Genomic DNA, 17,171 nt, shown 5'->3' with positions numbered 1-17,171 from the left:
AATGAAGTATAAATGCTCACACTGGCTCACCAGAATGCTCACCAGAAGAGATAATAATTTTCAAATGTTTTTTAAAATCATGCTTTAGGTATAGTTCCTACCCTGGAAGCAGACATTTTTCTTTTATTTTATTTTAAGCAAAGGCTTGCTGCCTTAGTTAGAGAGTTACCACACTGAATGCTTGTAGAGTTTTAATTTCCCATGGTGGTTTAATGGTAGCACAGCCCACCAGCCATTAAGCTGTCGGCAAGAGCTTTGGAAAACGGGAGCAAACAAAGCAGCAGGGCAAGGATGGACAACTTCATCCCTGGGCCACAGGACTCTAGCCTTTAGCTCGTACATTTGCATTTAGTACACATGCAACCTTTCTACATACTCATCAAATTCACGTTGGGCTGAGACCCAATATAGCCAAGAAGGAAAGCTTCCCCCCAAAATGAACAATTTCTCAAGTCAGAGTGGGAGAGTTTACATGGAACTTCTCATATAGTGTTTGCTTTCCATGAACTTCTATTACCACTAGTTTAGTTCTGGATGCTAAAAATGTTAAGTCCCTGCACTCTGACGTCCTTTTAGTTTTCTGTTTTCTGGGGTGTGAGAGTGCCCTCTGGTGGGCATTTGTTGGAAAGTAGCACTGAGGAGGCTCTCCACTCTGCGAGGGAGAACAGTACATTCCATGGTGCACATGGAGCCTCCACGAAGCGCACGAACCAATGTGAACTCTCTTCATTCCTCCTCTACTCCTGCCTTCATTCCTCCAATGCCTTCATTCCTCCTCTACTCCCGCAACCTCCCCACGGTCGTGTCAGAGACCATGTATTGTCTAAATCAGTGCTGTCCAAGAGAACTTTCTACAATGATGTAAATATTCCACATCTGTGCTGCCCAATATGTTGGCCGCTAGCCACTGAGCATTTGAAATGAGCCTAGTGGGACTGAGGAAGTGAATCAACACTTTTACCTTTACATCAACATTTTTAATGAGGTGAAATCCACATAACAAAATTAGCCGTTTTAAGTTGTACATTTTAGTGGCGTTTAATACTTTCATATTGCTGTGCAACCAGCATCTCTATCAAGTTCCAAAATATGTTCATTACCCCATAGAAACCCTGTACTTATTAAGCAGTCACTTCCCATTTCCACCCTTTACTCAGTCCCTGGCAACCATCAATCTGCTTTCTGTCTCTATGGGTTATCTATTCTGGATAATTCATATAAATAAAATCCTACAATATGTCAGCTTGTGAGTCTGGCTTCTTTAATTTGCCATAATGTTTTGAGGTCCATCCATACTGTAGCATTTATCAACACTTCATTCCTTTTTATGGCAGAGTAATATTTCATTTTATGGGTATACCACATTTTGTTTATCCATTCATCTGTTGGTGAACATTTGGATTGTTCTAACTTTTGGCTACGCTGAATAGCACTGCTGTGAACATTCGTGTACCAAGGTCTGTTTGAGTACCTATTTTCAATTATTTTGAATATATACCTAGGAATGGAATTGCTAGGTCACACAGGAATTCTTTATTTAATTTTTTGGAGAGCAACCAAACTCTCTTTCAAGGTACTCAATTTTAGATTTTATATAATGTTAATTAGTTTAATCCCAACTTTGCAACAAGACCTAATGATTCCAGAGCACCTTGATTCTTTCTGAGCACTAGAGCAGGGTGCTCAAGAACTGCCAAGGCAACATTTAAAAAATATATTCCTACAGGGAAAACATAGGTAGCCATAATCTTAACATTTTCCCTGCCTACATCATAGGGAAGAGATCACGACCGTGGAAAGTAAGAATTGAAAATGGCTTTAGGGGCAATTATCCCAGCCCTAACATTCACAGATGAAGAAACTGAGGCCCAGAGAAGTGACATTTTCTTCCTAAGTATTTGATGGGCACCCCACTCAGGGCAAGGGCTGGGAGGAGTTGAAGGCAGCACATGGGCACTAGGTGGCAGCAGAGAGCACGGGGGTAATAGAAATAGGAGGATTGAGGGGGTGGCTGCAGTGAGACTAAAACCTACTTACTGTCTAGTGTGTTGGCCAGAGGGTGGGTATGTGGGGCTGTTGCCAACTTGCCTGGGTTAAAGTCTAGACTTCGTTGTGTCCTGAGACAAATCCTATGGTCCTAGCTTCAGAGATAACATGAATCCAGCCAATTATCACTACCTTTCTCATTACCACCCTGGCCCAAGCATGGACTACTGCGTGGCTTTCTATTCAAAACACCAACTTGCCCTCCCACCCCCACCAACTGCTTCCACTATTGTCCATTTACAGCCTTCCCCAGCAACTGGTACGTTCTCATTACACATTTGAAATCCAAATCCTTACTGTGGCTTCCAAGACGCTATACATATGTGCTCTGGCTACTTTTCCTATCATTCTCTCTCCTGTCCTCTTCTCCAGTAACAGTGGCCTTCTTGGTCTTCCTCACACTTGCCAAGCATGTTTTTCATTTGCCCCTCCTGTCTTTCATTCAAGTCTCTCCTCAAATGTCATCTTGTTAGAGAGGACTTCTCTGAGCATCTGTATTAAATAAAAGCCCTTTTACCACCATCCCCACTCTCTATCCTTGTCCCATTTATTATTATTTTACAAAGCTCTTCATTACCTGGCATTATCGTAGCATATTATGTAGAGAAAATTGTTTTACCCCCCACTGGAATGTGAGGTCCATAAGGGCCAGGACTTTCTGTCTTGTTTGTTCTCTGTTGTGCTTATAGAGACTTGCATATAGTGTATAAAGAAAAGGAGGAAGAAGGGAAGGAAGGAACAAAGAAAGGAAGAGAGGGAGGGAGGAAGGAAGGGAGGGAGGAAGGAAGGAAGGAAGGAATGAAGGAGAGAAAGGAGGAAGGAATGAAGGAAGATAAGAAATGAAGATTATCTTGTCAAGTTAGCCAATCTCTCTTAAATCTTGGTTTTCTTACCTGAAAGGTAGGATTAAGAATCATATCTACCTCACAGAGCTGTTGGACCTTGAAATGGCTCTCTTCCATGTGCTTTCTATTAATGCAATTATATGAGAGGGATCTATTGCCAACAATTTATCTGATCAGTATGCCTTATATGAAATAGGGACTAATCATCCTTAAACCAATACCCATTCCCACCTCCTGAGAGGACCATCATATTAATCAGTCTGGAGCTGATGCAGGTGTTTGGGAAGAAACTTTATTTTCCAAGAATCAATAGTCAGGAAAAAAACATGTTGCATTAAAACACGTCTGTATTGTTTTTAAGTGAGGCCTGGATATACTTAGCTCTTAAGTTCTAATGATGGATATTTTACATTTCTCAGTATCCTATCAATGTCTTTTGGTATTTGGAGCCACCTTGACCCAATTGATTACCCAGGGGTTCATAACTCCTCAATTGGTAAGATGGTCATGCATGAAAAAAACATAGCTTAACTTGGGGGTACCTACAGTACCTCTGTAGGGGCTCTGTAGCTTATGCCTGGGGCTGGTAATTATACTTAATAATAAGGTTGGTTCAGGGATTGTATAGTCAAAAATGTGGTCTGGAGAGTTCAAAAATTCATCTTGTGGCTGCCTCCCTGTTCTTCATTCCTGGACCCAGCTTTCTCAAGTTACTTTCCTTTTGACCAAAGCAAGTCATAATCACAGGGAAGGGACTTCAACCAAACATCTGCTCGAGAAACAAGTAGAGCTATTCACCTGTATAATCAAAGAGGTTCCTAAATTACACAGGGCACAGCAGTGACCTGGAATCCAACCACAGGAGGAGCCATACTGGAGGTCCTTCTTGTAGTAAGAAGAAACTGACTGAGAGGGAAACTTGTTTATAGCGGGTGCTAAAGCCACATAACCCCCAAGCCCACTTAATTCAGAGTCCCAGGCCAGCACAGATCTTCTTAGGTGGAATTCCACCTGGGGCAGGGGGAGGAGTTGGTGGTAAGAGATGGAAGAATGATGCTTAATGGAATAGGAGGAAGGAGGGTGGAACAGGAGGAAGGAAGGAAGGAAAGAATAAAGATATGAAAAAGAAAGGAAGATGATCTTGGCAAGTTGGCCAATCTCTCTCTTTTTTAGACGGAGTCACGCTCTGCCACCAGGCTGGAGTGCAGTGGAGCGATCTTGGCTCACTGCAACCTCCACCTCCCAGGTTCAATCGATTCTCCTGCCTCAGCTTCATGAGTAGGTGGGACTACAGTTGCCTGCCACCATGCCTGGCCAATTTTTGTGTTTTTAGTAAAGACGGGGTTTCACCATGTTGGCCAGGATGGTCTCGATCTCTTGACCTCATGATCCACCCTCCTCAGCCTCCCAAAGTGCTGGGATTACAGGCATGAGCCGCCGCACCGGCTTGGCCAATCTCTCTTAAATCTCAGGGCAAAAGACAGATATATGGCAAAAGAAAGTTGAAATCTACTTCTGAACTGTAATCGCTCCTTACATAGAATTAATTGATCTCCTAGAAGTTGAACGCTTTCTTTTTGCAAATGAATTATCCAAATAAATTATTTACTGAACATTGAGACTTTAGTTGCTTTGAAAAAATTAGTCTTCCTCTTTTTCATTTCTGGAGTCATCTCAGGCTAGCTTTCCTAGTAAGATACGTTTTCTTGTGGGACTCATCTTCTAAAGCAACCACCTCTTTTGCCTTGTAAAAGCTGACTCTCGTGCTCTGGAGAAAGGACAATAAAGCTTCTGAGCTGACATACGCACCTGTTACCTGTGGTCCCCTGAAGCCAGTGAGCCCTGCTTGTTTCCTGACCCAGGAGTGATGGCAGTTATGAGATGGTGAAGTCAGGCCAACTGCAGCATCCCAGCCTAGGAGGGTGGGACAGCACAGAGGCAGGAAATTTTAGAGCCCCTCAAGCCAGAGCAAGGACCAATCACCTCCTCTTTCTTTGCCTAGGGGACAAAACTTGTTCCTGAGCAAAGAGCTAGGCATACATTCAGCAACACACAGTCTACTCAAAAAATATTAGAAAAATTTGCCCTTTTCTGGAAGAATATCTTTCTGCTGTTCCCTGAGAGCTGCAGTGTGGGACACCCCATATATGCCCGTTCTAGGGTTGCCATCCATGTGCACACAACAATGCTCTGCAGGGCTCTCTGTCACCTCTTCTGAATGTCATTCCACCCTCCTCCCCTCCTATAGCCTCTACTTTCTCTCCCTCTTCTTTCTTCTTTCCTTCTCCCCTTTTCTCCTTACCTTCCTTTTTCTTTCCCTCCTCCCATTCTCCTTCCTTTCCTGCCTTCCTTCTTTCCATATTCCTTCATTCACTCATGACACATGATGGTTGAGAAAGGAAAGAAGTGGGAGGCAGCCCTGTATGACCACAGAGTGCAGCACAGAGCCTTCGTTCAGTCTGTCCACCCCTTTTGAAGTCCCAGCTCAAGGAGTTCAGCTTTGCGGAGTTTTTCCTTAGTGCCTCTAAGGAGAGCCAAGTGCTGCTTCCTCTGGCCTCCACTTTTCTTGTTCAAAATTTCATCACAGAATTTCCTAATTTGTGTTATTATCTGATTCTATGGGGCTCTCCCTACTGGACAGTGAAAGCTTGAAGAGCAAGGACTAATCTCATGGATTTCTGAGCTCGCAGCTGATACTTGTTCTTGGTCCACAGTATGTGCTCCATAAGTGTGAACTGGATAAATGAATGAATAAAATGCATGGTTGATTTCCTGCAATCTGGAGAATAATATCAAAGTTCTTTAGGACAGTCTCAATGCGTTGCTCAGTCTGCTCTCAACTTGGTCTATGTGATTTGAACACTCTGGATCATCCAGAATAAACTATGCATTGCCTCCTTGATATCTGCATACATTCCCACCTCCTTTTCTTTTTTCTTTTTCTATTGTTTGCAATGCCTCCTTCTCCTCTCTAATGATATAATCCCTACTCATTTTTCACTGTGAGTTTTCATCTCAGTCCTCTGTAGAGACTGTCCTGTCCTCTGCAGCCCTACTTTCCTACTCTGATATACTCACACTGCACTTAATCATTTATGTCTTGTAGCATCTTTTATAGTGGTTTTGAAATTGCTAGTCAATGATCTATAACTTCTTAAGAATGTCTTTCCTGTTTCTTTTTTCTTTTTCTTTTTTAAACAGGGTCTGGCTGCTCAGGCTGGTTTGCAGTGGTGCAATCTTGGCTCACTGCAACCTCCGCCTTCCAGGCTCAAGCAATCCTCCCACCTCAGCCTCCCAAGTAGCTGGGAATACAGGTGCATACCACCATGCCCAGCTATTTCATGCCCAGCTACTTTTTTTTTTTTTGTAGAGCCAGGGGTTTCACCATGTTGTCCAGGCTTGTCTCAAACTCTAGGGTTCAAGCAATCCTCCCACCTCTGCCTCCCAAAATGATGGGATTACAGGCATAAGCCACTGTGCCTGGCTCTTTCTTTTTTCTTGCAAGCTTTCTGAAGGCAGAGGTGATGTCACCTACTTGTGCAATTGGCAATGACTCCACTTCTTTCCCCTGTCCTTTCATCTTCACCCTATTTCCTTGTTCTCAGTTTCACGGATTACCATGCAGCAGCATGTCTTCTAGAAATGCAGAGCCATTTTGCTTTTGTCCTAAAACTGCTGTTATAAACAGAGGAAACCATTTCTCTGCCAAATTTTCTTTCTAAACTATGTGTTCACCAACTCTTGATGATACCTAAAAGGTAACTTTACCTCTTTAAAAAAATACATATGCACCCTGCTTATTCCCCAAACATTCCTTGGGAAAGATGACTCAATATAGGGGTTTATTTGATACCACTGGGCTTTATTTGGTCCCACTTTCTCTGAGATTAGATTATATTGAGTTGTTTAGCTGCAGTCTGTCACTATTCATCTTTGTACCTGGCTCTTATCGTAGGCCCTGATTCCACTAAACTCAAGTGAATCTTCTTTATAATGGCAGGGTTGAATGTAAGTCTGATATTACCTTAAAGACCACCTCAAAATGTGGGCCATGGATCAGCAGCATCAGCATCACCTGGAGATTGTTTGAAATGCACATTCGCTAAATCTATCTTGGGGGTGGGGGAGGCAGCCATCTGTGTTTTGGCAAGTCCTCCAGGAGTTTCTGATGCAGACTCGGGTTTAAGAACGACTGATAGACTATCCTTAGCAGTTAAACTTGTCCAGTAATGAGTTGTTGTGTATTAAGGGATCCAGGTTTGTCCAAGGTTCTGGTACATTGTATGGAAATATTCAGGGGGCAGAGTGGCAGCTGGAGCTTGTCTTCAATCTCTGATAGTCTCCAAACAGGAGAGAGAGCTGCCTGTCTGTCACCATACACGCCCTGGCCTTTTTTGCTGCCCCTGATTTGCACTTAGCTGCCCTGTTCCCAGCATCCAAGGGATAAGAGAAGTAATAAAGACGGCACTTCATGCAAGCAAGCCCTCCTCTGGGCCCCTGTGCTATGCATGGCATTCCCATAACCTCGCCAAGCCACCCAAGCCCCTGTTCTGCTGAGATTCACCTGCACCAGGTAGACAGTGAGGGATTGTTCAGAGCAAAACACTGTGCAATCAATTGGAGATAACAGAGGCCCAGGGGTCAGGCGGGCTGCCCAGAGCATCTTTCATCTTTGACTTATATTGGTAGGGTGTAAAGTGTGGCATCAGCCTGGCCTGCCTCACGGTCAATGGCTGCCTTGTTCTGCCCTCCATTTATCTGCCATCTCTCTGATGTCACAGGTTTCATTTGGGTAGCTGACTTCAAAGGTGCTTTTCAAATTTTTTTAATTTTTCTATTTCAGGGATAATAGCCCAGCTTTTCAGAAGCATTTTGCTCTGCAATCAAATCAAATATTCTTAAACGGACAGGGCCAAGTCAACCCAGCCCAGGCAAAGAGGATCCCAAAAGATTGCCAAAAACCTGGTGCCAGCTCTGACAGATGGACAAAGGTAAGCTGTGTTTTCTGTCCTCCTCCACTGTATTCTTCTTCTCTCAAACCCATCCTTGTGCTGAGATGTAAAAAACAAAACCACCCCTCACCATTCCCTGGTTTCTGTGTAAACTGATTAAATGAAAGTATTTTCTACAGGGGTCTGCAATAAACTACCCAGGGACAACTGGGCAATGGAGCCAAATACCTGGCTCACTGAGTTTTTCTGATAGATTGACTGTAGATCCATGGAAAGGCCACGTTGGCTCTGGCCTTCATGTTTCGTAGACTCGGATTTGAAGCCATCTCTATAAATAGACCATAGAACCTGCCACTTTGTGCTCTGTCCCTTTCTTTGTTTGCTTCTGTTAATGACAGCCCTAGGACCAAGAAGACTCGGGCAGCCCGAATGCTCTTGGTGGCCCTGTTTGGCCAGCACACAATTTCCTCCCACCACCTGCCCACAGAGGGGATCCCCATTGTTTTGCTTCCCCAGTCCCCCTCCCTCATTCTGGGCACTCAGGTTGAACAGTTTTCCCTGCAAATGCACACAGGCAAGGATCTTTAAAGGCCAGGCACTTTAGTTAGCCATTGGCGTCGTGTTTGAATACCAGCGTTTTATATTTATACATAGAGAGAATTTTCTAATATAGCCAATTATATGTGTACATATATATGTGTACATGTATATATACACACACATACACACCTGTATAGACAACCCCAGCCATTCTCCCACTCCCAGAGAGCTCTTTTATGTGGGGAATGGGATGAATCCCCATCTGTGCCTTGACCATCAAAGCTGGAGCTCTAGGTGTAGAGGAGGGCAGCCATGTGTCCTGACCACCCAGAGCCTGGGCTTTCCAGGGAAAGGCTTTGTGCAATTGCCCGGGTTTTCTTTTTTTTTCTTTTTTTCCATGTGCCTCCCCCACCCCCAAATCTCTGCACCACAGCTTATTGCAGGCAATGTTGAAAGAGAACTGCATTTGAAAGAAAACACAAACAAAAAAAAAAATCCAAAAAACTAATGAGAAGAAAAAAACCCACGATAGAGCATTCATTCTTGAATACTCACTTGCCTGGACCATATGGTGGCCTGAGTTGACTTGTAGGCAGACTCAATGGCTAGATACAAGCTTGGGTCTTTACACTGAAGGGACATATTTCCAGTGAGTAATAATAACTGATGTTAATTGGCATTTGTTAGTTCCTAGACACTGAGCTGAGTGGTTTACAAACATTATCTCACTTAGTTCTTATTCAGTTCTCACAATATTACTCCGTGGCAGGTTATGTCATTATCACATATTATAAATGAGAAAAATTAAAGCTCAGAGAGTCTGGGATTTAAACTCAGGTCTGTCTGCCTCCAGAGCCAAGGATCTTAGCCACAGTGTTTTTGCTGCACCTCAGTGTCCTGCTGCAGATAGCATCTGAATAGGGAAGTACAGAGAAAAGAGAAAGAGGGGGACAATGGTTTTTGACCAGAGAATAGATTTCTCTGGACTTCAGGGAAAATAATTCTGCAAGAGATAAAAGGAGCCATCACTTTTTGGATTTTAGGCCCACTCCTCTCCCCTCAAGGCCTGTCTTCCCTCTGAGGCTAAGGAGAGCCCTCCACTTCCTCTATAGGAAGGGGGAAGATTCCATTGGTGTTCTAAGTGATGAGGAGTGGGCAATGATGGTTCAATATCATGTCTGAAGAGCTAGGACAAAACTCAACTCTTCAAGCTCTATATTTTCAGCACTTGACTGTTCATAGTCCCCAAGAGTGTAGGGCAGAGTTAGATATGTCCCTTATATTTTAGAGATATAATTTCAAAACACTCAGAATAAAAGTTCAGAGAAAAGGTAGGAAAAACTCCACAGACTAAGACCAAGGGGGACTCATTTACACAGAAGTTCTCAAAAACAAATTCCAATATAGTAGGAAAGAGGAAAAGAATATTCACAAAAGACCAAGGTTGTCTCCAGAAAATGTATCTGCAAGTTCAGAGGTCAAAGACATAGAGAGAGATGAATATAAAAAAAGATGAACAGGCGCCATGCCACTGACCACTTTGGGGGGCAGAGGGGGCAAACTGCAAATAAACCAAAAGGTGTCAGATGGCAACACACAGGTTTTGAGCAAGAAAACAACAACAACGACAGTGAAAGGACAGTTCTGCTGTAGGCTAATATTGAAATGGTAACAGGTCACAGAGAAAACAGAACTCTCCAATACTTGTTTTGCTTCTATTCTTATTTAAGGAGAAGGACTGTTCAGCTGTAAAGGTGAGCATCGATATTGATGGGACAGAAGTTAAACTCTGGAGAAAGGGAGAGGTGACAAAAGAGAAACTAGGGGATCTATATGCGTGCAAGTCTCCTGGGTGGATCCATCTACTTTCAGGGTAGGAGAGAACTTGCATATGAGCTGGCTGGAAAGATCTTGAGTAATTTCTGAGGAATCTTGAGATCTATGGTCATTGAGAAGCTGGCTTGTGAACACTTGGACTCAGATCCAGCATGAATGTATTACAGGCATTTAATGAAGCATTTGACAAATTCATGGTTTGAAGCTGGCCCTGCTAACTAATACACTGAATGAAAAAATTAGAGTCGCAAAGGTGTGGGAGGACTCAGCCAGTAAACTAAACCTAACAAGATAAAAATACGATAAAATCACTAAGTGTTCAGTACAGAATAGGGTAAGGTGGTTTAATGAGCATACCCTTAAAAAAACAAACAAACAAACAAACAAACAAACAAGAACCTAAGGCTTTTAGGCAATTGTAAACTTGATATGAGCCTGAGATGCAATATCTCGCCCAAAGAGTTAGTTCAAATGTGATTTGCATGAATGAAAACATAATGTTGAGAACTATAGAAAAAAGAAACCAAAATATTTTAATGAATGCCTTCCTTCTGCAAAATATTTTCAAATATTTTGGTTTTTTTCCTACAACCTATAAGGATTTTTTTTTCAGATGAGTTAGAGTTCAAGACACAGAAAGCTAATTAATTTTCCTGAGATCATGTAGCCAAGAAGTGGAAACGTCAGAGTTCATAGTCAGGTCAGTCTGATTCCAAAGCACTGCTCTTTCCACTGCCCCACAATAAGGCTTCCGCAGAGCCATGTGGCGTTCCATTAACATGCAGCACAGTGGTGGGCTTGGTGGCAACAGCTGTGCTCTAGCAGAGGTCTTGGTAATCTAGAGTATTTTTAGAGGCCAATTCCCTTGTATTACACTCTACAGTGAATTAAGGGTACTAATGTCTTCTGGATAAGGATGAGAACGAAAATATAGTTATAATGATGAGAGGTCTGAAAACCGTCACGTAAGAAAACAATAACAATATTTAGCTAGCAACTTAAAGATTTACAGAGGATCTGAAATGTGTTTTCAAATAGTTTAATGTCTGCCATGGGGCAGAAGGAAGCAGATGTGTTTTGGTTACTCCAGAGGCAGATCTAGAGCCAATGGGGGAAAGTTACATGGACGTTGGTTTCCACCCTATATTAGTTTCCATCCTACTATTTAAAAATTTACTCCAAATTTAGTGGCTTAAACAGCACAAATTTATTATTTGACAGCGAGGTAGGTCAGAAGTCTGATACGGGTCTCATTGAACTAAAAGGAAGGTGTAGAGAGGCTATGATCCTTTTCGTGGCTCTAGAAGGCCATTTTCCTGCCTTTTCCAGCATCTAGAGGCTGCCCACATTTCTTGGCTCATGGTTCCCTTCCTCCATCTACAAAGCCAGCAATGTTGCATCTGTCTACTCTTCTGTAGCCACGTCTTCCTCTGACCCAGGTGGAAATGGCTCTCTACCTTTAAGGACTTATATTCTACTAGGAAACAGAAAATAATGAACAGCAAACGCAATAAATATGTAAATTATGCAATATGTTAGAAGGATATAAGAGTTAAGGAAAAAAAAAAGAGCATAGCCAGGGGCATCAGAAATATCCGTGGGGCGCTGCAGGTTGAAATTTTAAATAGACTAGTGAGGGTAGGCCTCATTATGAAAGTGAGATTTGAACAAAAACTTTCAGACGAGGGTGTTAGGCATGCAGATGTCTGGAGAAGAGCATTTAAAACATAGGGAACAGGCAGTGCTAAGTCCTAGAGGCAGGAACATTTCTAGTGTGTTTCAAGAATAGTAAGACAGTGTAGCTGGAACAGAGATATATGGTTATCGTGGTAAAGGAAGAAGGGGGGAAAATGAGGATACAGGAAGGGAGAAAGGAGATGATGTAAGAAATTTGTAATATCCAAAGACCTACAAAACTCTAAGGTATTGATTTCGTGGAGTAAGTTACAGCGGGTGGGGATCATGTAAAATTCATATCTGAATCTCCAGACTGCCTAGCAGAGATCTTCACAAGGTAATTGTCCAATAAATGTCGACTGAATGAATGCTTATATTTTACTAAATTTGGTGAGTCTGTACCATAAATACAGAACCAATTAGCCTAAAACTTGGTCTAGATGATTCCGTCTCTGCTAACCATTACTTAATGACAACTGAAAAGAGCAGATTACCTGGTTTGTTTGCAAAGTAAGTCACTTCTCCTCACCATCCCTTAGTGTCTTCCTTTGCAACATTTGAATAAACCTGTTCCCTAAGTGGGTGCAGTGGAAAAACATTAGGATTTGGAACAATTTAAGTGTCAGATAAATTCTTCATTTGTTCCCTGTAACAAACTACAAAAAAAAAAAAAAATTCTGCTCCTTAACCTCTTTAAAATTTCCCTGTGCCCTTTATTTCTCATTCATTCGTTCACTTATTTCACCTTAAATTGTAATCCTATCCTTTTTTCTTCCATCCCAGCATCTGCTCTCGGCTCTGAAGAGAGTTTTCTCATCCAAGACCCTCAGTGAAAGACTGAACTCATGATTCTTCAGAAGCTTAAACGTGCTCTGTAATCTCAAGTATTTAAAACCAGAAGAAGTAGCCAACTGCTCAACATCTTCATTTCATCTTGAGTTCTCACCAGGAAGACTTTTCTGATTTGAATCTAGACAAAGCAAGACTTATCTTCAAATCAGACCCAGCCTGAACTTGCCCTGAAGGTGAGTAAGGTCCCTAGTCTAATAACTTCTAGAATCACCTATGGGACTTTAAAAAACTACCGATACCAGGACCACACCCCAAGATCTACTGAATCAGAAATCTCTAGGTCTTGGGCCCAGGAATCTATATTTTCTAAAATCCCATTGTTGATTCTAGCACAGAGGGTCCATGGATTTAGTTCATGCTATTTCCTTCTAATAAGATGGCACTTATATCATCTGAGGTATCTCCCTTATTTTTAAAACTGCCCCCAAAATAAATTGCTCAAACTGCCTCTGCAATTCATCCAATTTTCTCATAAAAACAAATAACTGTGTTTTTAATGCTTTAGAAAATTCTCTTTCAGGAGAGGTGAGAGTGGCCATGTTCATCCTTCATTCATTTTACTAATAGTTATTAACCTAAGCATTTTGTTTGCTGTTGGAAATATAGTGATTAATTAGACATTGTCCTGGCCCTCCTACTACTCTCCCTATAGTAGGAGAGACAGAAAAACAAGCAATGTTTGGTGGGAAGTACTATTTAGAATAGATACATGATTTGGAATATTAGTAGGCAAATACTCAAATAAAGGCATCACAGAAGATACATGCACATGTATATTGTATGTGCGAGGATAAGTGTGTGCACAGATCCATGTAATTTGCTCACAGATCCTTTGTTCTTACATTATTTTCAACTTTCAGGTTGGAATGATCTAGTCTAATTTACTTTTTGCTCTTTAAAAATCATGCTTCGGATATCTGTTAAACACCTCCCTGTGTAAGCATCACAGTTGCCCATAAGCACATGGGAATGCATGAATGCAGAAGCCCATGAGAAAGCAGAGACTCCACAGCCTTCACCACCCAGGCCAGCAAAACTGGCATCACAAGCAAGAACATGACATTTTTCTTTGTAGTTTATAGCAAGTGTGATTCCAGGTCTCTACTGAACTCTGGGAATTCATAGCATCTATTCTATGTATCAGGAAAAACCTTGTGTATAACTTTGTAGTATATGTACCCTCTCCCTCAACTCACACATTGCAAAGTGGTTACCTTACACATCCTCTTTTTCAGATGTATCAAAGTCCTGCAAATGGCTCTACATTTTCTGCAACTTGCGTCATTTCGTAGAATTGTGGTGAATATCCCCAGGGCAGAAGAGCAGGCAGAGGTTCTCATAAGCACTGCTGAAGAATTCTTATAATGAAATAAATAAAAATGCTTTACCTCTTTCTCTCTCCGTGTGTGTGTGTGTGTGTGTGTGTGTGTGTGTGTGTGCCCACGTGTGCCTCTATACAGGGATCAGTGTAGCCTTTACTATTTGTGGTTAGGGGTTTTTTTTATTTTTTATTTTGTATTTTTGGAGACAGAATCTTGCTCTGTTGCCCAGGCTGAAGTGCAGTGGTACGATCTCGGCTCACTGCAACCTCCGCCTCCTGGGTTCAAGCAATTCTCCTGCCTCAGCCTCCCGAGTAGCTGGGACTACAGGTGCACGCTGCCAAACCTGGCTAATTTTTTGTATTCTAGTAGAGACGAGATTTCACTGTGTTGCCCAGGCTGGTTTCGAACTCCTGAGATCAGGCAATCCGCCTGCCTCAGCCTCCCAAAGTGCTAGGATTACAGGCATGAGCCACTGCACTTGGCCTAGGGTGATTTTATTTACAGTATTTCATTTCATCCTTCCAGGTCCATGAAGAAGGCAGAGGCAGTTGGTATTATATACATTTTGCAAACAACAACAACAACAAAAATAATAGGCTCAGCTTGTATCTTATTCAATTTTAATAGCTAGTGAGAGGAGGAGCCTGAATGTGAACCAAAGATTCTGGCTTCATATAATTTTTATTTTTTTATTATTTATTTAGTTTAGAGACATGGTCTCATCATGTTACTGAGGCTAGTCTCAGACTCCTCGGCTCAAGCAATCCTCCTGCCTTGGTCTTCCAATGTGTTGGGATTACAGGTGTGCACCACCGTGCCTAGCTAAAGTTTCTGGCTTCAAATAGAAATGTCTTTAGTATATATCATCCAGATATACAAGTACATTCTTTGGCAATTCATACTCTACAACACTCCTAAGGAGTGCTGAGTCTATGAACTGGCTACTTTCAGAGTCTCTTTGTATGGAGTTCAAACTAAGGATGATGCCCTGTTGTTTTCTCCGTGAATATTTAATACTGGTTTCTTGGGTAGAGTCATCCACGCTGGCAATTCATTAGGGCTTGAATGTACCTTTAATGAGTACCATTAGTAACGCTGATCACTCATGGCTATCACTCCTTCCTCACTACTGTTGGCAATGGCTCTTTCTGGTTTGTAGTGTGACTTTTGTAAGTTGTTTCCATTGTCTGTATAAAACGAGACTGCCATTAACAAGAGGGATTAAGTGTGTAATAGAAATGTATTTTGTTTGGGACAAACTGGACAGGGGTAAGATGAGAACTCTACGTCTCCCTACAGCTCTGTCCATCATAGCTGTTGTCATTTACTGTAATGAGTTACATGGATTAATTCTGATAGCTTCGAAGGTACTGGGTTAGGATAATTTTGCCTTTATGAGATGTCACCCTGAGGTCAGGAAATAAATGTCACAGGCGCCTAGAAAAGCAAGTTGAAAAGGTGAGGGGCATGAAGTCGTGCCTCCAGGGTGACTGAGGGTGTTCCCAGCACACCCTGATGACAGCCTGCACCGTTTGTCCTCATCTTTAGGGGGACAAATTCCCTGGAGCCTGTGATTATTAATGGGGCACCAGCTGCTTTGTCTTTATTGCTGTCAGTCACAGTGTCTGCCTCTGCCAGTCTGCAGGGATGTGGCTTCTGTGGTCAGAGTGCAGAGCCACCAATCAGTGTTTACTTTCTCCCTGCCCTTTCTTACCTTCCACACCAGCTCCGGCTTACTTGCATGAACAGTTCTCTTAATTCCATGAGCTGCCTCAGTCAACTGATGTCAGAGAGCGCCACCTGCCGAGCTAAGAGGTGACATTGAAAATCAGTATGCTGTGAGCCTCTACAAGGAGCTAGCCAGCCAACCCACCTGCCCACTCCATGTCTGCTTGCTGGGTGGTCTAGATGTAAAAAAACAACCCCAAAAGACAACTTGAGGTAGAGAAAGAGAGCAGAGTGGTGGTTGTCAGGGGATATGGGAGGGAAGAATGGAGAGTTACTGTTCAATAGGTATACAGTTTCAGTTTTGAAAGATAAAGAGTTCTGGAGGTGGCTAGTGATGATGGTTGCATGATACGAATGTACTTAATACCACTGAACTGTATACTTAAAATGCTTAAGATGGTAAATTATGTGTTTTGCCACAATAAAATATAATCCATAGAACTATATGAAGGAATAAATTTTTTAGTCAATGAAGCATCTTATTGGATCATCAAAATAAATAGATAATGAATAAACAAACAAATAAATACAATTTGAGAGTTTCCTGGCACCCAATACCATTCCTCTGCAAAACTCTTTCTTCCCATCTTACTAATCTCAAAATTGATTATGAGAGGACACAGGCACTCATTCAGAGAGGTGGCAGAGTAATAACTGAAAATGTCCCCATATCATGAGGCCTGAGTTCTAATCTCCAACTCTGTGACCAGCTATGCCAAGAAATTTAACCTTCTTGAGCTGACCTATTAAATCATCTATTGCAAGAAAAAAAAATCTGAGATTTCTTTCAGCTTTAAGAATAAAAATTCAGGCCAGTCACAGTGGCTCACGCCTGTAATTTAGCACTTTGGGAGGCTGAGAAGGGCGGATCACCTGAGATCAGGAGTTCAAGACCAGCTTGACCAACACAGTGAAACCCCATCTCTACTAAAAATACAAAGTTAGCTGGGCATGGTGGCACATGCCTGTAATCCCTGCTACTCAGGAGGCTGAGGCAAGCGAATCCCTTCTACCCAGGAGGCGGAGGTTGCAATGAGCCAAGTGCAATCACATTATTGCACTCCAGCCTGGGCAACAAGAACAAAACTCCGTCAAAAAAAAAAAAAAAGAAAGAAAGAAAGAAAAAGAAAAGAAAGAAATAAATAAAATAAAAAAGAAAAGAAAGAATAAAAATTCAGCTGTTCCTTGTGAAAGTAACAATTTTACTCCAGTTCTCCGTATGACAGAGTTAACTGAGACCATGTCCCTTCTTAAGTGCAGGCTTTATTTAAGGAGAGAGGACCAGTGGAAAGGGAACTTTAACAGGAAAGGATAACACACGCTTAGATGAGACAGTTTTCTAACTGAGAATTCTAATTTATTAGGGGGTTGTG

At 42.1% G+C, this 17,171-nt stretch overlaps 1 long non-coding RNA gene across 1 annotated transcript, besides 2 other annotated features; it reads left to right on the top strand.

The window, feature by feature from the left end:
- Positions 587–636: a silencer, noted in NCBI's record as "silent region_1498". NCBI's record gives its function as "represses an Ori minimal core promoter by ATAC-STARR-seq in GM12878 lymphoblastoid cells {active_cell/tissue: GM12878}" and the evidence as "EXISTENCE:reporter gene assay evidence [ECO:0000049][PMID:35858748]".
- LOC107985452 (uncharacterized) lies at positions 7,672–14,069 on the top strand. The gene is made up of 3 exons (XR_001737808.2): positions 7,672–7,882; positions 12,680–12,921; positions 13,984–14,069. It is a non-coding gene; the product is annotated as an uncharacterized LOC107985452 (long non-coding RNA).
- Positions 15,858–15,947: a silencer, noted in NCBI's record as "silent region_1497". NCBI's record gives its function as "represses an Ori minimal core promoter by ATAC-STARR-seq in GM12878 lymphoblastoid cells {active_cell/tissue: GM12878}" and the evidence as "EXISTENCE:reporter gene assay evidence [ECO:0000049][PMID:35858748]".

Source organism: Homo sapiens, chromosome 1, assembly GCF_000001405.40.
Source record: "Homo sapiens chromosome 1, GRCh38.p14 Primary Assembly".
In the NCBI taxonomy this organism is placed as follows: Eukaryota; Metazoa; Chordata; class Mammalia; order Primates; family Hominidae; genus Homo; species Homo sapiens.
The sequence above is the reverse complement of the archived record's forward strand: the minus strand, read 5'-3'. Positions and strand labels throughout refer to the sequence as shown.